Source organism: Homo sapiens, chromosome 7, assembly GCF_000001405.40.
Source record: "Homo sapiens chromosome 7, GRCh38.p14 Primary Assembly".
Classification (NCBI taxonomy): Eukaryota; Metazoa; Chordata; class Mammalia; order Primates; family Hominidae; genus Homo; species Homo sapiens.
Window position 1 is genome coordinate 7,949,401 of NC_000007.14, and position 22,607 is coordinate 7,972,007.

The 22,607-nt window shown below is 41.0% G+C and overlaps 1 protein-coding gene and 1 long non-coding RNA gene across 2 annotated transcripts in view, besides 6 other annotated features; one reads left to right on the forward strand and one right to left on the reverse strand.

Moving 5' to 3' along the window:
• Positions 1-438: 438 nt before the first annotated feature.
• GLCCI1-DT (GLCCI1 divergent transcript) lies at positions 439-19,352 on the reverse strand. The gene is made up of 5 exons (NR_110018.1): positions 19,144-19,352; positions 9,120-9,218; positions 6,461-6,616; positions 1,272-1,309; positions 439-1,106 (listed from the first exon to the last, which is right to left on the reverse strand). It is a non-coding gene; the product is annotated as a GLCCI1 divergent transcript (long non-coding RNA).
• Positions 10,803-10,932: an enhancer, noted in NCBI's record as "active region_25652". NCBI's record gives its function as "activates an Ori minimal core promoter by ATAC-STARR-seq in GM12878 lymphoblastoid cells {active_cell/tissue: GM12878}" and the evidence as "EXISTENCE:reporter gene assay evidence [ECO:0000049][PMID:35858748]".
• Positions 19,219-19,368: a silencer, noted in NCBI's record as "silent region_17966". NCBI's record gives its function as "represses an Ori minimal core promoter by ATAC-STARR-seq in GM12878 lymphoblastoid cells {active_cell/tissue: GM12878}" and the evidence as "EXISTENCE:reporter gene assay evidence [ECO:0000049][PMID:35858748]".
• Positions 19,396-22,607, forward strand: part of GLCCI1 (glucocorticoid induced 1) — a 120,285-nt gene continuing 117,073 nt past the window's right edge. The window contains exon 1 of the mRNA NM_138426.4: positions 19,396-20,407. Coding sequence (NP_612435.1) covers positions 19,951-20,407 — 457 coding nt within the window. The 5' untranslated portion in view covers positions 19,396-19,950. The remainder of the gene's footprint in view (positions 20,408-22,607) is intronic.
• Positions 19,579-19,978: a silencer, noted in NCBI's record as "silent region_17967". NCBI's record gives its function as "represses an Ori minimal core promoter by ATAC-STARR-seq in GM12878 lymphoblastoid cells {active_cell/tissue: GM12878}" and the evidence as "EXISTENCE:reporter gene assay evidence [ECO:0000049][PMID:35858748]".
• Positions 20,059-20,118: a silencer, noted in NCBI's record as "silent region_17968". NCBI's record gives its function as "represses an Ori minimal core promoter by ATAC-STARR-seq in GM12878 lymphoblastoid cells {active_cell/tissue: GM12878}" and the evidence as "EXISTENCE:reporter gene assay evidence [ECO:0000049][PMID:35858748]".
• Positions 20,209-20,288: a silencer, noted in NCBI's record as "silent region_17969". NCBI's record gives its function as "represses an Ori minimal core promoter by ATAC-STARR-seq in GM12878 lymphoblastoid cells {active_cell/tissue: GM12878}" and the evidence as "EXISTENCE:reporter gene assay evidence [ECO:0000049][PMID:35858748]".
• Positions 20,769-20,858: an enhancer, noted in NCBI's record as "active region_25653". NCBI's record gives its function as "activates an Ori minimal core promoter by ATAC-STARR-seq in GM12878 lymphoblastoid cells {active_cell/tissue: GM12878}" and the evidence as "EXISTENCE:reporter gene assay evidence [ECO:0000049][PMID:35858748]".

The window sequence follows — 22,607 nt, forward strand, 5'->3', positions numbered from 1 at the left end:
CAGGTGGATCACCTGAGGTCAGGAGTTCGAGACCAGCCTGGCCAACATGGTAAAAACCCCATCTCTACTAAAAATACAAAAATTAGCCAGGCGTGGTGGCAGGGGCCTGTAATCCCAGCTACTGGAGAGGCTGAGGCAGGAGAATCGCTTGAATCGGGGAGGCGGAGGTTGCAGTGAGCCAAGATCTTGCCGTTGCACTCCAGCCTGGGCAACAAGAGCGAAACTCCATCTCGAAAATAAATAAAGTAAAATAAAATAAAGTGTTATCCACATTTCAGAGATGTTAAAATGTAAAAAAGTTTCTTATAATAAATAAACCGTGGCATTTGTTTAACACCTACACATTTCATAGACAATATTCAGTCATATACCATGAACAGATTTTTAGCGCCCACTGCATAATAGGTTATGAACAGAGAAGTTCCAAATTAGAATGGATATCTTTGACATTTAATTCATTTATTTATTTTTGGATTGAAATAAGAACAAAAATGTTCATATTTTAATATGTATGTTTCTATAGAGAATATTCTGTTTCCATACCTTACATTGCAGTCTCTAAGTGGGAGCAGAAGCCTTCCATGTGATCTTGAGTGTCTTTATCTCCTTGTAATTTGTCCTCAGAGATAACAAAATTCTCAGTTAGACTGCCCTTTTACCTTAAGAAGCATGACTGAGTTCTTTCCTTTCATCTTCAGGCTGCCAGTTAGTGACTTAATTCAGTTTTAATAAAGTCATCAGGCTTGGAAAATGCAGATTCATTCCAATTTATGTGTATTATATCTTTTGCCCATTATATCTTTTGCTGGGCCAGTCTAATCACCAGATTTTACAGATGAAGAATGTGAAACTCAAGCAAGTTAACTGATTCATCCCTAATCATTCAGAAGGGGTTTTTTCCCTGTCACAGACAGCCTGTCCAACACAAAGTCCAGTTCTCTTGAAGTCTCCTTTCATCTTAACAGATCCAAATATGTTCTTTCAGTTGCCTGAGAAATCCATTTTCTTCTAAATTTTCTGAAATCAAAATTCATCCTCTTTTTAACATTCTGCCCCGTATTAGCAGATCCTGTCTGGTTTCCAAATTTAGAGTCATACATTTTTCCCTAGGGAAGAGAAAGAGATATCCCCTATTTATCCACAAGAGTAATCTGCTACCTGGAATATATACATGGAACCGCTACTTGGTCAAATATAAATTAGCTCTAAGTGGGAGAAGGTAAGGCAACAACTTTTCATAGACTCCCATCCTTTCCCCTTTGAATTTTTACCTTGAATTATCTTGTTTTCTTGCTTTAAAGTGGATTATCTGTAAAGCATGTGATAGAAACAGAAAGAAACATAAAATAAATGTTTAAAATGTGAAATTTTGATTAAGTTAAAGAATCACACTGAGCTTACGCAAGAAAGTATGGGACCCTATCATCATCGGTGGAATCAGTTTACCCAGCTATGTACTAAATGATTATGGTTTATTGAGCCACCTCTGAGCTCCTCCCCCTCTTCCCCAGTGTCCTGCTTCCTTGGGCCAAAAATAAACCTGTTAGCTGGAAAACAAGCTAGATGAGTGTATTAGTCCATTCTTGCATTGCTATAAAGAACTGAAGATCGGGTAATTTATAAAGAAAAGAGGTTTAATTGGCTCACAGTTTCACAGGCTGTACAGGAAGCATGATGCTGGCATCTGCTCAGCTTCTGGAGAGGCCTCAGGAAACTTACAATCATGGCAGAAAGCAAAGGGCAAGCAAGCACTTCACATGGCCAGAGCAGAAGGAAAAGAGAGATAGCGGGGAGGTGCCACACACTTTTTTTTTTTTTTTTTTGAGATGGAGTTTTGCTCTTGTTGCCCAGGCTGGAGTGCAATGGGACGATCTTGGCTCACTGCAACCTCTGCCTCCCAGATTTAAGAGATTCTCCTGTCTCAGCCTTCTGAGTAGCTGGGATTACAGGCACTCGCCACTACGCCCAGCTAATTTTTAGTAGAGATGGGGCTTCACCATGTTGGCCAGGCTGGTCTCGATTTCCTGACCTCAGGTGATCCGCCCACCTTGGTCTCCCAAAGTCCTGGGATTACAGGCGTGAGCCACTGTGCCCAGCTGCCACACACTTCTAAACAACCAAATATTATGAGACTTCGCTATCACAATGACAGCACCAAGGGGAATGGTGTTAAACCATGAGAAATTGCCCCCTTATCCAATCACCTCCCACCAGGCCTCACCTCTGACATTTACAGTTTGACATGAGATTTGGTGGGGACACAGATCCAAACCATATCAATGAGGCTGGGCAAGGCTTGACATAACCCAGAACAAACTTTTTCCTGAAAAAGCAGAAAAAGCTTGACTAGCCTTAAAGGAGGTGGAATACAGAAGGCATTAATTAGGAATGGTCCTAGAGGGAAACATACAAGGGCTTCTGAGAAGATGGTCTAAGAATGAGATACAAAGGAGCAGAGTTGATATGTGAGGTATAGTCCCTAACAGCATTTCTGAAATGACTACTTTTGGCAGAAGACACCCTTATTCTGCAGTTTAGGAAAACATTTGCCATTAAGTCATCTGGGTTTTTTTGCTCCCCCCATAAAAACAGTTCTTTTCTTAGAGTGGGAGACAAGTCCAAGTTTAAATGTTTAAAATCCTACTCATATTTCTGAACCACTTTCTTATCAGTTATAATTGTAGATCTTACACTTACTAGGTAACTGAGGTTTGTATTTTTGATCTTGAAATGTGATGCCAGACCCAAACCATATTCTTTGAAATCATCAGGTTAATGTGTCCTCAGCAAGCAATGTGACCCCCTACTAAGATGATTTCCCTTAAAAAACGTGGGACATTTAGCCATTCCAATTTCACCAAACGTAGATTTAGTATGTTGAGGTCAGGTGCTGTGGCTCATGCCTGTAATCCTAACACTTTGGAAGGCCAAGGCAGACAGATCACTTGAGCTAAGGAGTTTGAGATCAGCCTGGGCGACATAGTAAAACCCCATCTCTACCCAAAATACAAAAAATTAGCCAAGTATGGTGGTGTGCATCTGTGGTCCCAGCTACTAGGGAGGCTGAGATGGGAGGATCACCTGAGCCTGGGAGGCGGAAATGGCAATGAGCAAAGATCATGCCAACGCATTTCAGCCTAGGTGACAGAGTGAGACTCTGTCTCAAAAAAATAGAAAATAAAATATATTGAGACAAGTCTGTGTGTGTGTGTGTGTGTGTGTGTGTGTGTGTGTGTGTGCGCGCGCGCGCATGTCCAAATGGACAATGATATTTGCAAAGAACGTAGATGTGCTTTTTCTTTGCATTATAGTAAAGGACATAGCTAAATTCAAAGCTGCTTTTAATCACAAATAAAAATAAAAAATTATCTTCAGAGAGACAAATCCAATAAATAATTACATAAAAATAAAAATTCAAATAACATTGTAATTACAAAGTTCTAACATTTTATTGATATTGCAAACATTTTTGGTAATATAAACATAGGAAAAATGATTTTAAAAAATTGAATTATATTATGGCTTCATTTGCTGTTTTCATTACTCATTAAAACCTTGAAAATAAATAAATAAATAAAGAAAACCTTGATAAGTATGGAGAATGAAATGAGCTATATAATTACAATGTGTCAAAGATTCCTTTAGATGCCATCTACATTAACTACAAGACTATTTTAAAATGAAGTATGTGTGCCAGGTGGCTGATAGGAAATTCTTAGATCAACAACCATTTTTTTTGCAGAATTTTTCTGTTCTTTAGCTAACAATAAGAACATAACTACCAAGATAACATTTATTGAGTGCTTACTATGTTCCAGGCACTGAGCTAGGCCTAGCTTTAAAAGTATTATTTTATTTACATCTTAAGATTTAAGAACCCCATGAGCCAGGTATGATTATTATCTTCATTTTATACACATAGTATCATGTGCTTAGCTGTGTGTCTTCTGTGTGCCTTCTGAGTAGAGGGTTTTAGGCAAGAGCTAAAAGAATTCTGGTAGTTGTATATGATAGTTTAGCATAATAAGAAATTATGGCCAGATGTGGTGGCTCACACCTGTAATCCCAGCACTTTGGGAGGCTGAGTCAGGAGGATTGCCTGAGGTCGGGAGTTCAAGGCCAGCTTGGGCAACATGGCAAAATTCCAGCTCTACAAAAAATACAAAAGTTAGCCAGGTGTGTGGTGGTGCATGCCTGTTGTCCCAGCTACTCAGGTGGCTGGGGTGGGAGGGTCACCTGAGCCTGAGAGAGAGAGGTTGAAATGAGCCATGATTGTGACACTGCACTCCAGCATGGGCAACAGAGTGAGACCCTATCTCAAAAAAAGAAAGAAATTATAAGAAAAGCTAATTTTATTTCTAGTGTTGGACAGAGTGACAGTTTGCTGCTAACAATGGGCTCTATGCTATTTAATAAATTTTTCCTCACTCTATACAAAATTCCATTCCTAATACAATGTTATTCTATTCTCAATTTTAAAACCTTTGCAGAAAATTATTTTACATGTGTGGTATGTGCAAAGCATTCTTTCTAGTAATATATGTAGACATGTTCAGTTTAGAAAAATGTAAAGAAGCCCAGAGATGAAAATAAGTCACCCTTTATCCCAGTAACCACAGGGAACCACTATTAATGTTTTGGCATGTGTTCTCTTGGTTGTTTTTATATATGCATATGTAAATATATATTTATATTCAATTAGAAACATACTTTACAGTTGAGTTTGGTTTTTCTGGTTTTTCAAATTCACTTGATAATATATCATTGGCATTTTGTTATGTCATTAAAATTTCTTCCACATAATTCTAACAATAACACAAAATTCCATTATATGGATATACTCTATTAGACTAATTTCTTAATGTTGGATATTTAAGTAGGTGGAGGAAACTTTAAATATAAATAGCTAAAGTCTTACTCATGCTATAGGCCTCAGATCTTTAATGATTAAAAAAATGTGCCCAGTAAAAGCCTTGGACTAAAGCTCTATTGATCTCAATTTTAATCTAAAATTGCAGGGCTGAAGGTGGCCTCAGAGGAATATAGTCCATTTTTCTATTTTTCAGATAGGACTATATCACTATCCTAGATATATGTCTCTAGAAACTATTCTTGAATTTAATGAGAGCAGAAGATTTCATAACACTGCCCAATGTAGCATTACAGTGACTTGGTCCTGTAGCACAGACTCTGGAAGTAAACAGACCCTAAGACCAAATACCAGGTAAAGGACTTTGACCTTTGACTTTGACCTTGACTTTTCTACCTCCTCATTCTTGGTTTCTATCAGTCTTGCAGGGTATCTGGGAAGATTCCATGAGATAAAATACATAGAGTGCATAGCAGTGTGAATGCTGAACATATGCTTTTATTTACCCTGTTCCTCTTAAATCTTTAACTAATTTCCTTACATTCTTTCTATGACGAAAAATCCCCAAACACCAATATCTATGGCACTAAATATACCTGAAGGCCATGACTAACCCCTTCTTGAACTTCTTCTGCAAACTAAATAAAGCTAAATCATTTGACTTTTTCTAGCGTCTACATTCATAATTCTTTATTAAATTGTGGGACCCCAAATTAGGCAGGATTTATTATAATTGCTCTGGGTGGTGATAGAGATTGTGGTGTAAGTTGTAAGAGTACACCTTATTTATTGTTATGTTGATGCCACTATAGCAAGAACTTGCTGGATTCTTATTTTAATTTCTTTCTTTCTCTCTTAACTTCTCTTTTTCTTTCTTTCTTTTCTTTCTTTCTTTCTTTCTTTCTTTCTTTCTTTCTTTCTTTCTTTCTTTCTTTCTTTTCATTTTGTTTTTTTGCAGACATGGGATCTCACTCAGGCTGGAGTGCAGTGGCACTATCATAGCTCATTGCAGCCTCAAACTCCTGGACTCAAGTGATCATTCTGCCTCAGGCTCCCAAATAGCTGGGACTATAGCCATGCACCACCATGCTTGGCAGATTTTTAAATTATTTTTTTAGACACAGGATCTTAATATGTTGCCCAGGCTGGTCTCAAACTTCTTGTCTCAAGCGATCCCTCCTGCCTCAGCCTCCCAAGTTGTTGGGATTACAGGTGTGAGCCACAATGCTTGGCTTGAATTCTTAAAAAGAACTTATGATGTAAGTTCTATGATATAAGTAAATAACTCGGGTTGTACTTGTAGGCCATCATGACAAGGATGACTGCTTTTCTGTGCTGTACTTATTTCTTGGTTCTGATTCTTTATCTTACTTAGAAGCAGCTCCTTCATTGTTTCAAGTTGCTTTCATTAATTTGAGTCAGTTTTACTTCTATGGTGTTATCCATACACTCTTTCTTTTTTGTTACTTGTTTTGTTAATTTTGATTACATTTAGAGGCAAATGAATTTATGTGCACTTCCCTAGATCAAGGTGAAACCATGACACATCTATGTGGTAAAGTATAGCTATGACATAGAAATAAAGGGTACCTCTTTTTAAGCAGTTTTCTCCTAATGTAAGTCCAATAGTGCTGAAATTGTCTTCAGACTTACAAGTTTGAGTAGATTTTAGTATGTCATCTGTATGGATTATGAATTTGTAGGCTTTGGGTCTGAAAGCTGTAATTATCAATGTTTGAAAGACATCTGTGAAGGTGAGGATATGGAGACAATTAGCCAAAAGTTAGATATATAATTACCACACCCTGCCTTCCTATCAGGAACTCTGGATATTTAAAACAAATTAGGACCTTTAGACAGGCCCTTCTCTTATCAGGGTGCATCATCGGGTTGCCTTGAATGTAGGTAATCAATCTCTTAGCCAGTAAGTGTCCTCTCTTGCATATACTATTAGCTCACAGGTCTTTCAGAGACCAACGTGGAAAAGAACCATGCCTCTCAATTACATCCCTGGCTCTTGCTACAGAGGGAATTTTTATAGTGAAGAAAAAACACTGGGGAAAAAAGTCACCCAATTTTTATAGTGAAGGAATCAGAAGACCTGGCTTCTACTTCTAGTCTCTCATGTGCTATCTGTGACCCCAGCCAAGGTTGTGGGCCTCCATTTCCCCATCTGTCAAATGGAGACAGCATACATGTTCTAACGTCACAGAATTGTTGTGGTGATACAAAAAAGTCATAGATCTGAAAGCGCTTTTAAAAGTTCTGTGAAGTTTCTATAAAACCCAGGAAATTGGGAAAAAATCATGCAGAGTCACATCATTTCCTTGGAATTTGGAACATTTGTTTCTCTTCCCATCTGTGACTAAGTACTACACATATATGTTTTGATATTTATGAAACCATTGAGTACATAGTTACACTATGAATAGTTACGACTGGAAGGTATTGAGAAAAATGACAAAATTCCTTGTTATTGATAATTAACAAAGGAACTAATCCTTTCAAGGGTAAAGCTACTTAGACCTGGCTCACAGCACTTATGCTCTAACTGATTTTCTTTAAAGAAAACTCCTGAAGAGTTTTCTAAGAACAAGTGAAGCAAGATTGGACCCTGAGTACGGAAAGTGGGCAGCTAAAGCTTCTTTCCTCAATAACAAGTTTAAGTGCCTTATTTATTTTTGTATTATTAAGTGACACTTGTGAAAATACTTTGTTGAGTAATGATGCTGTGGCAAAACTAAAGTTTATTTAGGACACTGCTCCGCCCAAGGTGAGCAATTAAAGCAGGTATGTAAACCTGCTCCCCTGGGCTCCTCCACTCAACCACTTAAGTAAGTAGTGCTAGAAATGAAAAAGGGTGTGGGGCAAGATACATGGCATGGCTGGGGGTGAGAAGAAGTTGGAAGGGGAAGAGGAGGCCCCATGAAAGAATGAAAAAAAGTGTGAAGGTTGATAGGGAATCTATAACTAAAAATGGATTCTAACTGATGACTGATATCACTATATCAAGTTAATACAAATTGAGATGGCATAAGATTGATTAAAAAACAAACAACAAAAAAATTCTTTTTCCCGCATGGTATAATAATAACCACCTTATTTTAAATGTAGCCAGGAAGGGTTGTGTTTGTTCATGTGATCAGGTTTCCTCACTTCCCACACCTGGGGAAGTATCGGCTAATATTGATTTAGCACTAATTTATACCTGATGGTCAGGATCAACTAGAATGGAGAAAAACTGGTACAAATTAGAGGGGCTTTGTGTTCCCAGAAAGCAGTTTGGGCTGCGACTATTGTGTATCAATACAAATCACTTTTTCTAGGAGGAAATGGAAATAAATTTTTCAAGGACCCGTATCTATTCTCAGCTGCTGTACTGCTAGTGTGCTCAAGATTTTGTTTAAATATGTTAGGAATGGATAAGATCAAGTTGCATTCTTATATTTTACTATGTTAGTTTATTAATCTGGGAGCTAAGCAAACCAGAAGCAGAACAGGCTTTAAAATATCTGACTCATTATTATATTATACATAATAACTGTTAGCTAGTCAGGTCCATTTCCCTTTTCCTCAATGAAATTTGCTATAATAAAAAAAATCTATAACCTAGTCTTATATATTTAAACACCACTGTAGATTATTTGGAACCATAGAATTAGATACCAATCATGTAAAATGAGTAGACCTCTTAGATTTTTTAAAAAAAATTCTACAGGTAGAATTTTAAAAGGTGTTTTCTTTTGGTAATTTCCATGAATTGATGTCAGGTATCAATGTTTCTATGTATTTGGCTGAAAATGGAGATAATATTTTGGGCCTGAAATTATACTTGGTAAACTTTCATTTATTTCATATCTACTGTTGCGCAAATTTGCCTGATCATAAAGATCACCTGAGGAACTTGTTAAAAATTATACAGTCCTAACCCTCCCACCAGCAGACCAGCTGAATTAGACTCTCCAGGAAAGGGGACTGAAATCTGTGTTTTTAGCAAGGGACCCAGATATGCCTGATGATCTGACACATGTGGAAAATACAGTTTTGTTTCCTTTTCGTATTCCTCATGATGCCAGAGCTCTTCAACCCTATATTCACTTCTGACTATCTTGCTCTCCACTGATTGCACTGTTTTCTACTCCACCCTACCTGTATTAATTTGTTTTGTGCTGCTGTAACAGAATACCATGGGCTGGGTAATTTATAATGATACCACAGACTGGGTAATTTATAATGAACAGAAACTTACTGGCTCACAATTCTGGAGGCTGTGAAGTCCAGTATCAAGGTGCCAGCAGTCGGTGAGGTTCTTCTTGTAGCATCATCTCATGGCAGAAGGTGTCACATGCTGGAAGAGCAAAAAGAAAGAGAGAGAGAGAGAGAATGAATAAGGGGGGTGAACCCCCACCTGCAATAGTGAACCCACTCCCATGATAATGCCAATAATCCATTCATAAGGGCAGAGTCCTCATTACCTAATCACCACTTAAAGGTGCCACCTCTTAATACTATTACAATGACAATTAAATTTCAACATGAGGGGGTGGGGGCAGAAAGAAAGAAAAAAAAGTTCAACGTGAGTTTTGGAAAGGACAAACATTCAAACCATAGCGCCATCTAAGAAGTAAGGCACACTTCATCAGCCACTGTGGCCTTTTGTAGCAGTGAGTGTCTGCTATGGTGGTAGTGGAAAACAAGTCTTGGGCAGGGAGGTAAGGGATGGAATGAAGGGTTGGAAGTATGGTTCAGAAAAGTCTTTCAAGAGATTCTGATCTTCTCCTTGACAATTGGTTTGTAGATGACTTTGCTACCTTCTGAAGTGGCCACACTCAACCTCCCTTTGCTCGATCCAAAACTCTGTCTTACTTTTGACCTCTTATCCTCCTTCCTTCCTGTAGTAGAAGGGGAAACATTGTGCCTTTTTGTCAATGTTGTGCTCTTGATCAAATCCTTTAATGCTAATGGAAACTAAATCTATTAATCTTCCTCCCCATTCAAACGCTTCTTGATGTTTTTCTCCTTCGGCTTCTTTGGCTTATGGGTATATCGATAGGAATATTTTCTCTTTTCTTTTTTCTTTTTTTTTGAGACAGAGTCCAATGGTGTGATCTTGGCTAACCACAATCTCCGCCTCCCGGGTTCAAGTGATTCTCCTGACTCAGCCTCCCAAGTAGCTGGGATTACAGCATGGGCCACCACGCCCGGCTACTTTTGTATTTTTAGTAGAGATCGGGTTTCTCCATGTTGGTCAGGCTGGTCTCAAACTCCCGACCTCAGATGATCTGCCCGCCTTGCCCCCCCAAAGTGTTGGGATTACAGGCGTGAGCCACCGCACCTGGCCTGTCTTTTCTTTTAAACTAGACTAACATGTACTTTCTTTGGCTCTGCTCAACCCCAAGATCCCATTTTATATCATGCCTTATTTTAATTGTTACACTCTTAAAAGGAATATTCTGCATTGATGCATCTACCTTCGTACCCATCTTGCTAACTTAGTTGTAATCTGGCTTCGATTGGGCCATATTTTATGGACACTATTGGCTTGAAGATGATCAGTGATGAGATCCAGTGCTTTTTGCTTAGCTCTTAACCTGCTTTCCCATTCAGCAGCATGTGACATTGCTGATCACCTTGTCCTTTTAAAAGCTGCATCAATTAGTGGTCATTTGATATAACAGCAGAAACCTACTCAAATTATTGACATGACAAAAGGGATCTGAGTACAAGACTATAGGAAACTCTCCCACAGAAAGTATAGTAGGACTGTACAAGGACTGGAATAATGAATGATGAAGCCATCAGCAACAAGTAAAGTTATAACAAGTAATTATTGAACACGTGGTATATCCTAGGAACTACATAGGTGTTAAGTGATCAAGTAGTGAACAGAAGAGACAAACAAGGTCGCTGCCTCTAGAGACTTTACAATCTAGTAGGAAAGACTTGCCATTAGGAGGTAAACAAATGTGTATTGACAACATTTAATGAGCAAAATAGATGGAAAAAACTGACTTAATGATAGATTATTATAGGTTATTAGTGATGGGTGAGGACTCAGGAAGGACATTCTAAGACATGGCATTTCAAGGGAATTGAGGAGCAGGGAGGTAGAAGTGATTTAGGCTGAGGAGACACCTGTATGCAGGCCATGCAGGAGCGTTTCAGGGGAAGTGAAAGGAGGCATTGTGGCTGGAACTGAAAAGGGGAGGAGAAGAGTAGAGCAAAAGTAGTCAGGCCAGGTCAGGCCTTTTAAGCTATTTTAAGGAATTTGGATTTCATTGCAAAGTTATTGGAAGACACCAAACCTTTTTTTTTTTTTGAGATGAAGTCTCAATCTGTTGCCAGGCTGGAGGGCAGTGGCATGATCTCGGCTCACTGCAACCTCCACCTCCCTGGTTCAAGCGATTCTCCTGCCTCAGCCTCCCGAGTAGCTGGACTATAGGCACGTGCCACCATGCCCAACTAATTTTTGTATTTTTAGTAGAGACGGGGTTTCACCATGTTGGCCAGGATGGTCTCGATCTCTTGACCTTGTGATCCACCTGCCTTGGCCTCCCAAAATGCTGGGATTACAGGCGTGAGCCACCGCGCCCACCCGACACTGAACATTTTTAAGCAGGAAATGTGGCTCAACATATTTCCAAGTTTACCCTGACTAATAAGTAGAAACTAAATTAAAGAAGGCAAGAGTAGAAGCTGGGAGGCAAGTTGAGTAGCTGCAGCAATAGATTAGGTAAGAGATGACAGTAGTTTGACTTAATGTAATAGCAGAAGAGATAGAAGTGGATGGATTAGACATCCATTTATTAAAAACAAATGAGAGGACTAGCTGCTGGGTTGGAGGGGGCGATGGTGGGGAGAAAAATGAGAAATCAAAAATATTGTCTAGGTTAATTGTTTGGAATAACTGGATAGATGGTGAAACCATTTGCTGAAATGGGGAAAAAATGGGGACAATTTTCTCAGAGGTTAAGAGAAAGCAGGAATATGGAAATTAAGATTTTAGGCCCATTTTAGACACATTCACTTCAAGTATTCATGGGTACTTGACGTATCAAGCAGGCAACTGAATATACAAATATGAATCTTGGAGGAAATGTCTGGGCTGGAGAGTTTCATTTAGGAGTTGCCAGCATTTTGCAGTATTTAAAGCCATGGGAATGTCTAAGATTACCAAGAAGGTGAGTTTATACAGAAGCAAGCAGAGAATAGAGGCCAATTTTTAGAGGGAACTAGAGGAGGAAGAACCTGAAGAGCACTGAGCAGTAGTGGTTAGAGAAGTAGGAAACAGAACAGGTGAGTACAGTGTCCCAGACTCCTATAGAAGAGATTTTTTTAAAGAACTGAGCCTGACCAGCAATGTGGAAAACTGCTAAAAGCTGGAAAAGGAAGAGGTCCCAGAAATATCCACTGGGTCTGGCAATATGGAGGCAGTTGATATTGATTAGCAGTTTTCAGTGGCATGAAGCCAGATTGGAATAGACTAAACAGGAAAATAGTAGATTAATAGGATTAAATAGGATATCAGAAGTAACATGTAGACATCTCTGTCAAGAACTGTTGCTGTGACAAGATCAAAGAATTTGGACCATAGATGGAAAGGGATGGCAGAAGAATCTTTGTTTTGCCTTTTAAAGTAAATGTTGGCATAACAGCATGTTCAAACATTACTGGGAAAAATCAATAATTTGATGATGAAGAAGATGGAGATAATAACTGCAGAAATGAAGTCCCTGAGAGACAAGAGGGTCAGAATTTAAATCAGAAGTGGAGGAGATGGCTTTCGATAGGAAAGGAGAACATGTATTACCTGTACAGAAAGGAAAAAGAAATTGATCCAAATGTTGAAAAAATCATAGATTTGATGGTGGGACTGTAGTGGAGATGTATCAGCAGGAATGGGTCTGGAGTTGGGGTGGTTTTGGAGGATTGAATAAAATGCATAAGAAACAAAATAATCATCATGGGAAAGTGAACTTCCTCTCAGACTCTCTCCCTCTTTCTGGTCACCTGGTGTGATTTCTCCTTCTTTCTGTAAGTCACTTCATTCTTTTCTCTCAGAAGGCAGGTTTCCTCTGCTTCTCTGTGCCCATGACAGAAAATGGCCACTCTATGCACAATTCTTTATAGAAAAATATTTTATTTCTTAATTTCAGATTCCCAAAGGAGAAAATTTAATTGGCCCAGCTTTAGTCAGTTGTTGAACTCGGGTGAAATCAACCATGGCCAGAGGGGCAAGGTTATTTGGGACATACATAGCTGTCAGGCCCAAACCCTCTATGTGTTGGGGGAGGATTGGTTCTCAGAGAAGAGGGATATTAGTTTGTCAGATGACCCACGAAGCAGCTACCAAACTTATTTTCTGAGACCCTGAACTCTATTTTAAGGAGTACTTCTGCCCTGCCTTCTTTTCTAGTATTGTTTTCTTTCATTTTTTTTTTGTTGTTGTTGTTTTGTTTTGTTTTTTACTTATCCCTCCATGACTCACGTATAAATTTTCACAATTTTGTTTTTCACCTTCTTTTCATTTCTATGCTTTTCTCCTTTGTGACCATGGCTTCAGCTACCATATGGACATGGATAGCCCCCAAATCTATATCTCTTGTCTTCTCAACTTCACTGTCGTTTAAAAGCTGTCTCTATTTGGATATTCTCTGGTTATTTTATTTATAGCTGAACTCATTATCTTTTCACCAAACCTCCTCCTTCCCTTAGCTGCCTTGTTTGTGTTAAAGCCATGACTATCTTCTCAGGCATCCAAGCTTGAATCTTCAGAACTGTCTGGCGTTCTCTTTTCAAAGTCCACATGATCATCAGCTGAGAAGGAGCATGACTTTCACCTTATTTCACTCTCCATGTCCTTTGTCATTCCCCTGACTCATGCCACCTAAACTAATGTGGAGTATCCTCTAAACCTTCTACATCGTCTTCCAACCATCAATCTCTAATTCAATGCTTTAAGCTATTCTTGCATTAATCTTCATAAAGCACAGCTCCACTCATGTTCTCTCCACCCATTCAAGAATCTTCAACAGCTCCTCACTGCATATCCAATAAAGTGCAAACCTTACCTGGCAACCAAGGGCCGTCATGACCCGTCATCAACAGGCTAAGACTTATCTTCCATTAACCATCAGCCAAAGGCAAACTGTTCAATCATCTTCTGCCTGGTTTTGTGCATTCCTACCTACATGACTTCTTCATACTCTTCTTCCTGAAGCCTTTTCTCAAGTGAGCTTTCCTTTCCCTCACTTCAATAATACTCTATTTACATCCTTTTTATATAAGGCAAATCTGTAGATATGGCTTTAGCTTTGTCGGCATATCTTTTTACTCCTCTTTACCAAAGTGTGAGAACAGGTAAACCCTACTGAGTGTAAAACAGTGTCTGACACTTCAAAAACATTCAATAAGTAACCTGACAAGGAGTTGCTATGGCTTGATGCTAGTATTGTTGCTACTAAGCCCGCATTTAGCCTTATTAGGGGCATTAATATGGACCTTTTCAATAAGATGCTGAGTAGGGCACTCTGAAAATTGTGTTTCAAAAAGTTTAAAATAATAAAAAGAAACTTCTCTAGTCCAGCACTGCTGATGAATTGACGGCACCCTAACAACAGTCCCTCAACACACTTACTCGTGTGGCAAAAAATAAGATTTGGCCACATAGGAAGAAACCTATGACATACTTTAATGACTTTCAACTCTCAATAAAAAAAAATAACATTATGATAATCAAACATATTCCCTTCATAGGACTACTATTGCTTTCAGGTATTATGAACACTCTATTTGGGACTAAAACAAATAGAATGTCACACCATAGAAAGAGAATATTTATAGTCCTTTGGCCCCCAAGTTTTACCTGTGAATGTGCTGACTTTATACAATATAGTCTTTTAGTTACATGGTGAGAGTATTATGCATCAGCTTAAGATGCATTGGAGGTGCCACTGGCATCATAGTTGGCAATTGGAGCTGCTATGGCGATGAAAATCTGAAAAACCAGTGGTTTTCATTACTGTTTTCTATTTTTGAGAAATAACTGTACACTTATTCTGGATGACCTTACCAGTTAAAAATAAAATATCTATTACTATTGCTTCTTCTGAACTTCTTTTAGAAACAAAGTTTTCATTATTTACATATAATAGTCTCGTCTACTTAATTATCATTTATTTTCAGTTCCTTTACACAGGTCTCTTGAGAATAGCTCTTCTTAATAGTGAGATAGAACTAAATACCAATCAGCAGATGTCACTCCTTAAGTGATCCTCTTCAGTTTTCTCTGTTTATTTCAGTTGTCCTTTTTTTTTCAATGCCTTTTCTCCATTGCCAATTCTATTTTCCTTCTTTTGGAGATAGGTTCCCACTCTGTCACCCAGGCTGTAGTGCAGTGGCACAATCATAGCTCACTGTAACCTCAAACTACTGGGCTCAAGCGGTCCTCTGCCTCAGCCTTGCCAGTAGTTGGGAATATGCCTGGCCCCCATTTTCCATTTTCATCCTCTGATGAGCCTCCAGGAGCCAGTAGGTCTAACAACCATAATGCAAGGTATTCTATCTTTTTGAATGGCAGCTTCAATACAAATATCTGTGTGGTTTACAGTAGCCACATCAGATATTTTTCTACTCTGCGACTAGGCTTTTGTAGCAGAGATACACCTGTTAGATTTTTTTTCCTGAGGAAAAGCACAAGTTTTAGTTCATAAGATAAACACTGGCTAAAATTTGCCACTCTTAACAACATTAAACAAATATTTATTGATCATCTACCATATACTAAGCACTGTTGTAGAGATTCAGCAGTTATAAAACTGATAAAAAGTCTTCACTTCATGGCTGTTCTATTCTAGACAGACAAAACAAAAAATAATTATAATATATTATGGTTTGGTTGCTGATAAGTACTCTGCAAAAAGAGTAGGATAAAGAGCAGGAAAAGCCGAGGGGTGCTTACAATTTTTAAAAAAGTGTTCAGGAAAGCTCTCATCATAAAGGTGGTGACATTTGAGTAAAGACCTGATGGAAATGAGTGAGCAAGCCATGTGGATATCTGGGCAAGAACCTTTCAGGCAGAGGGAACACCTAGTGCAAAGGTGCACGTAGGCTGTCACAAGCAGTAAGGAGTTTAATTTAAGCATCTGCCAGGGACAAAAATTCAGTCAAGGCTTTTTTGTTGTTGTTGCTATTAGGAATCAATCTACAAGAGAGTTTAATCAGCTTAAGATGAACATCAGTGCAGATCTGTTTAGTGTTCTCTCCCAGCCATGACCTCATTGCAAATACTGACAGCCTGGACTGCCTCTCAGATTTGGATGGGCCTTGGATGCTCAGCCAGGCAAACCCAGATGGAGCTAGAAGAGGAAGGTTTTGGTAGCTCTGTGGGCTCTGTGGCTTCTTCATCTTATGATCTCTCCACATAGGGCTGCATATAAATCGCATGTAACCAATGATTCCAAGTTTTAATTTAACCTAAAATGTAGTCTATTACCATATTTGCACTAAGAAGAAAGTAGAACAGAATTCTACCTCAGATTAGCTAATGGCAGATCCTCGTCCCACAGATAGCCATGGCATGGGGCTACTGATACAGAAGTATTTCTCATGCCACCAAATTGTGCCTTCAATTTTGTCTTCTTTACACAGGACAACATAGTAAGAGGTCATTGTTAACATTAAGTCTTATATAAGATTTTCAGAGATTGTTACACTTACATTCAACCAGTATGGAAAATCGGCACTAGGCCTAACTACCCCATAGCTAGCATAGTAGCATAACAACGCTCTTCTAGCCTAGCAATCCACATCTCATTCTAGGGGGTTTCCAATTTACTAAGAACATTTTCTTAAAGCTTCTATATATCCTTGGAGCTTACTTTGTCCTCAATAAGAATAAAATATTATCAAGAACTCAACAAATGGACATTTGAAAGCAGGCACTGAGTTTAATTTATTTTAGGCCACCTTTGATTTGTTTGAAGCCTGTATTCCTTAAATATGAAGATCAGTACTTACGTCGTGAGAATAAAGGTTTAAGAGACAACCAAGGTTTCTATAGCAAAGAGAAACGACTGAGCTTCTAGATTGGTCATAATGACTTACTAGTAACTGAAAATAGTATTTTAAGATCATACTAATTCTCTGTTTCTCTGTGTGAGTTATTTAGATTTGCTTTAGATGTCTAAGTCAGCTGTGGTAGATTTGAACAAACACAGAAAGTCCTTAAAATATGACTAGGTATGTTGCTTTAGATCCAAATTAGGTATTGATCATTGTGATTGTGACCTAGAATAAATTTAGAATTATTGTAACCTAATGTGTTGAAGTTGTTCCATAAATATATTTAGGAGTAGCTAGAGATGACATTTCTATAATGCAACTATGCTGTAATCAAAGCAACAACTCAGAAATTTACCAGCATGTAAAAGAAAAATCTTAACTTTTTTTCTTCTTCTTCTTCTTTTTTTTTTTTTTTTTTTTTTTTTTGAGACAGGGTGTCATTCTGTCACCCAAGCTGGAGTGCAGTGGTGTGATCAAGGCTCACTGCAGCCTTGATCTCCCGGCCTTTTGGGCTCAGGTGATCCTCCCACCTCAGCCTCCCTAACCGCGTCCAGCTAGTATTTTTACATTTTTAGTAGAGATGGGGTTTTGCCATGTTGCCCAGACTGGTTTCAAAATCCTGAGCTCAAGTGATCCGTCTGCCTTGGCCTCCCAAGGAGCTGGGATTACAGGCGTGAGCCACCGCACCTAGCCAGCTTTACATATTTTTAATCTGTCAGATTTTTTGTTCTTGCTATTCTGAGAAAAGTCACTGAAAAGAAATCATTTATCATTCTTTTTACACACAAAATAATGCAGTTTTTAAATTAATGAGATAGGCCATTTATATAAAATTTGAAAGAGTAAAGTTTTTATTCATAATTAAAATATATGTTATTCTGGAAAACAAAAAAAAAGTAGTGGTCTGTCTTCATTTGTAAAATTTCCTTTGAACTGATGGGAACTTATCTCACAGATGAGATTTGTGGGCCATTGTGAATACTCTACAGATTATGTACCCCACAGCTTTGAGCTGCCAGGTACTATAGCAGAGTGCTTCCTCAGACTCTTGAGCCAGTCTGTCTGGGTGAAATTTTTAGCTCCCCATATACTAACTATGTGATCTCAGGCAAGACAGCTTATTTATGCCACAACTGAGACCACAGTAAGGATAATAATAGTATCTACCTTGTGGATTATATGAGGACTGAATGAATTAACACACATAATGTTCTTAGAATAGCGGCTGGCACATGGTGAATAAATGTTAGCTCTTATTATAATATGTGGTAAACTGAGGAACTATCACTAGTTTTACTTGGATGAAGTACTGCATGAAATTTTTGTATTTTTATTGAGTTTCATCAATTTTTTTACTGAACCTAGTATGCTTTCTCGTCTGAACACACAAGGAAGAAAAGAAGGATGGCTCCTGTACGTGAAAGTGACCCCTGCATATAGTGCCTGAAATCAGAGGAAGCTTGTCAGTGTGGGCAGACACCACGAGCAGACCAATTTGACATTGTGCTTCTCTTTTAACCTCTTGAAAATTAATGAAAGTTATCTGATGAAGATCCTTACATTAATTGCTCCCGATTAAGGTTTAAAACCTTGGTTTACTGTGGGGTAAATTTATGTTTTTGATAGTCATCCAAAATCTTTGTACGCTTTCAGTTTCATTACAGAATAAAAAACAAATTTACCACAATGGATTATTACATTACATCTGGTATTTATTCCTCCCAAGAAGCTATCTGCTTCGGAAAAGCCAGGGGCGCCCTTCATTAATATATCTAACTGATGGTGTAATGACATAAAATTCCTTGTTGACCCCTGCTATTCAGTGTTATTGTCTTGGAACATAGAACTTGATAATCTCTTTTCACTGCATAACTACAAATGTTAGGCTGTAAGAGTATTTTACTTTGTTCAGTGCAGGTTCCAGACATTTCTCCTGATCACCAGAAGTTCTTTTGATTAATAAGGCTACTGGTCACGAAAACTCAGCTTACTAAAAGAGATCCAGTCTTCTGGTTCTAACTAAAACATCCCACCGGATGCAGGTGTACTTGCAAATTAAAGTTTGCCTCATGTGTCCTGTGTCTCAAGTCATACAGACGGCCCAGGAGGGTGGAGCCCCTGCAACCTGCCTAGCGGGGCGTTTGCGTGTCTGGGGGTGTCGGGACACGCGCAGGACACACACAGTCCCACTTTCCTAGTCTCGCACTTACCTCAAGGCTGTCAACTTTTACGCTCCTCCCTGCGCGCACAGCCCCCACCTCACGCTGCCACCCCTCACGCCCCGCCTTCAAAGTAGGAGGCACCATTGTCATTGGACACTGCTTCTCTCACTCCTATTCCAGAACCAATCACTCGAGTTCTAGTGGGGAGCGCCTAAGCCAATGGAAATGCTCGCTGCGGCAGCTGCCGGGTCCTGGGCGCTGGGAGGCGGTGCCGGGGGCGGGGTGCGGCTGGGGCGAATTAGTTGCCATTCGGAGTGAGGAGTGGGTAGAAGCGGCGGCGGCGGCGGCGGCGTTTGCGGTGGCGCGGACTCCGAGGAGCGCCAGCACCTCGAGGCCCTTTCTCTCTACCCTGGTCCCCAGAAGCAGGGGTCCCGGCCCTCCTTGCAGCTGCCGGGTTCTCCCGTGCGTGCAGCCCTGCGAGGGCTGAGGAGAAGGCTGCGAGCGGCCCTCGGGGCTGCGTGATCCGGGCCGTTGCCCTGTCAGCACGATGCCTGGAGCGGTGGCGGCGGCGGCTCCGGGCTCCTTGCGGCCCCGGCCGTGACCGCCACACCGAGCCCAGCCGGGCGGTTGCGGCCGTTGGACGTTTGTTTTCGCAGCCTTCCCCTCCCCCCTCGCCGAGGCGGCGGGGGTGTGCGTTGGGGAGGGGGAGCCCCGAGACTCCTCCCCCACAGCGATACCCCCGCCCCTCCCCCTTACACACTCGCACGCACTATCGCGCCGGCTCCCACACGCTCGCGCGCCTCCCGCCCCGCGCCTCCGTGTCGGCCGGCGGCGTCCAGGGCCCGCAGAGCCACCATGTCCACTGCCTCCTCCTCCTCCTCCTCCAGTTCCTCTCAGACCCCTCATCCCCCGTCGCAGAGGATGAGGCGCAGCGCCGCGGGGTCCCCGCCCGCCGTCGCCGCCGCCGGGAGCGGGAACGGTGCGGGCGGCGGCGGCGGCGTGGGCTGCGCCCCGGCTGCGGGAGCCGGCCGGCTGCTGCAGCCCATCCGCGCCACGGTGCCCTACCAGCTCTTGCGGGGCAGCCAGCACAGTCCCACGCGTCCGCCCGTCGCCGCTGCCGCCGCCTCGCTGGGCAGCCTCCCGGGGCCCGGCGCGGCCCGCGGCCCCAGCCCGTCCAGCCCGACGCCGCCGGCGGCCGCAGCCCCGGCCGAGCAGGCGCCGCGGGCCAAGGGCCGCCCGAGACGGTCCCCAGAGAGCCACCGGAGGAGCAGCTCACCTGAGAGACGGAGCCCCGGCTCGCCCGTGTGCAGAGGTAGCGAGCCCAACCCTCCCGTCCTCCCGGGCTGCGTCTCCCCGACGGTGCCCTCCGTGGAAACTTCAGCCTCTTCGGGCTTCTCTTTGCTAGTGCATTATCGAAGGTGTGAAAGTGGCTTTGGGAATCTCACCCCCCTGCGGTCGCTGTGGGGCTTGGAGGAGCGAACTGAAAAGCGACTTTTATTTGACCCTCATGCCGCCCCTCAGAGTCTCTCTTCCATCACTCGCCTGCTTCGAGAGGTTTTTCAGTTTAAGAGCTGGCTAGCTCATTCGTGTGTTTGCCGTTTGTAGCCGGGGAAGGAGAAGCTGGGCGAAACACTTAACACGCACACAAACTCTTCAGCAGCGGATAAGGTGGCGGTTGTAATCTCTACCGTCTCTTTGTGCTTTTCTGCAAAGTTCCTAACGTGCCTGTAACTACCGGGATAGTATTTTATTTTTTAGAGGGTTGGTGGCATTAGTTTCGATGTAAGGATATCGGCTGGATGTAATGATATCTGCTAGAGGGGACAGTTTTGAATGTACAATTGAAGTGTATACGGTTTTTTCCCTCAGTCCTCCCTCTCTCCCTCTCCCCCAGCCCCCCGCCACCCCGCCTCTCTCTCTCCCTCTCTTTCTCCCCCTCCCCTTTATATATTCATGCATCAGAGCACTCCTGCACTGGAAACAGTTTGTGCTCTACCGGAGATTTTCATGGTAAATTTCTGAAAACTTATTTGTGGAACGTGTTCGTTTTTTTCCTTCCATTTTTAAGTACACTTAACAGTTCAGTTGAGCTGTTCAAGGATCTCAAGTTTCTTTTTTTGTTAGGTGTCAAAGGTAATGGTGAGCTGGTGGATGCTGTGGGTTTCCCTTAGTGTTTTCTGTTTTGCTTTGGTTTTGTTTATGTCTAGGGACACAGTGCATGATTTAGTTGAGCCCTGGGGGAGAAAAGGAAGATTAGCCAAAACAGGGACTTAAAGCTCATAAGGGAGAGTGGAATAGCTAATATTGTTAGATACCGAACTAGAGCTACAGATGCTGCTGCTGCATTGTGGAGGGAACAGATCATACTGGGTGGAAAAATCTCTGCTTGGAAGGGAAACACTGTCAAAGTCTGTACATTGTTTATGTGGTATGTGGAATTTTTTTTTTTAATGGAGCTTTCTTGATGAAGGTGTTAGAGTTGGAGAAAGTGGTTGTCTGCATTATGATACATTGCAGTCTTGGTGTTTTTGTTTTAATATTTCAGACCCGTAATTAGCATGTTGCTAACGCACTTGTTTTCTGACCACTTGATGGTGAACCAGTGTAGGATGTAGTGCAGTGGGATGAGTACATGAGCAGCAAGAAATACATCCTGTAATCTGTATGCATTGGGAGGAATATGCTCCTGCACTCCTCCCCCAGGTCAAGCCAGCTGCTGCAGAAACTGACATCCTCCAGCAAATCCTGAATGAATGAATGAAAACAACGTGATCGCCCTAATAATGACCACAACTGAACACACATCTTTGGCTGTATTTTATAGAAAAGGCCACCATTTTCTAACAGATTAATGCCATATGCAACTCCTTTGCACATTTTCTAGAACTGTATGAAATGAGAAGTAACAGAACGAACAGAAAACAGTTACATAAATTTTTTAGTGATTTCGCTTCAACAGTGCACAAATTGAGTTTTGGGATTTTCTTGTAGGGACTAAGAGGCATAAAATAAGCATTGCAGATTGTGTACAGAGGGTCTGGTGGGTGTGAGTAAGAGAAGTTTCGGCAATTGCTGCAACAACATAATGGCCATCTAGTACCTCCTCCCCTTTTGTATATAAACACTAACATCTTACAACGGATAATAGTACAACTTGTTTTTCTGCATCCTTCAAAAGGCTTAATGGCCTAGGAATTACATGCTCCATCATCAAGCAGTTTTAATAAAATTTGTGATCTGGCTTAAACTATTCTCTTTGTTGTAGTGTGGCACATACGAGTTTAATGCGATTTTAATGCAATCATGATGAAAACACTTTTCTGAGTCTGGTTGTGCAGCAGACAGATTTGCAGTGTCAGAGAGCTTGTGTTGGGAATGCAAGGGCTTTCTTTGCTAAAGATGTTTTTCTGCTGTTTTAAACACCAGGTGGTTTTGTCAGTTTCTTACATTGCAGTGATTTTTGAATGCGGGCTTCTGTGCCCCCAGTTCCGTGATTATATTACTCCTATGTT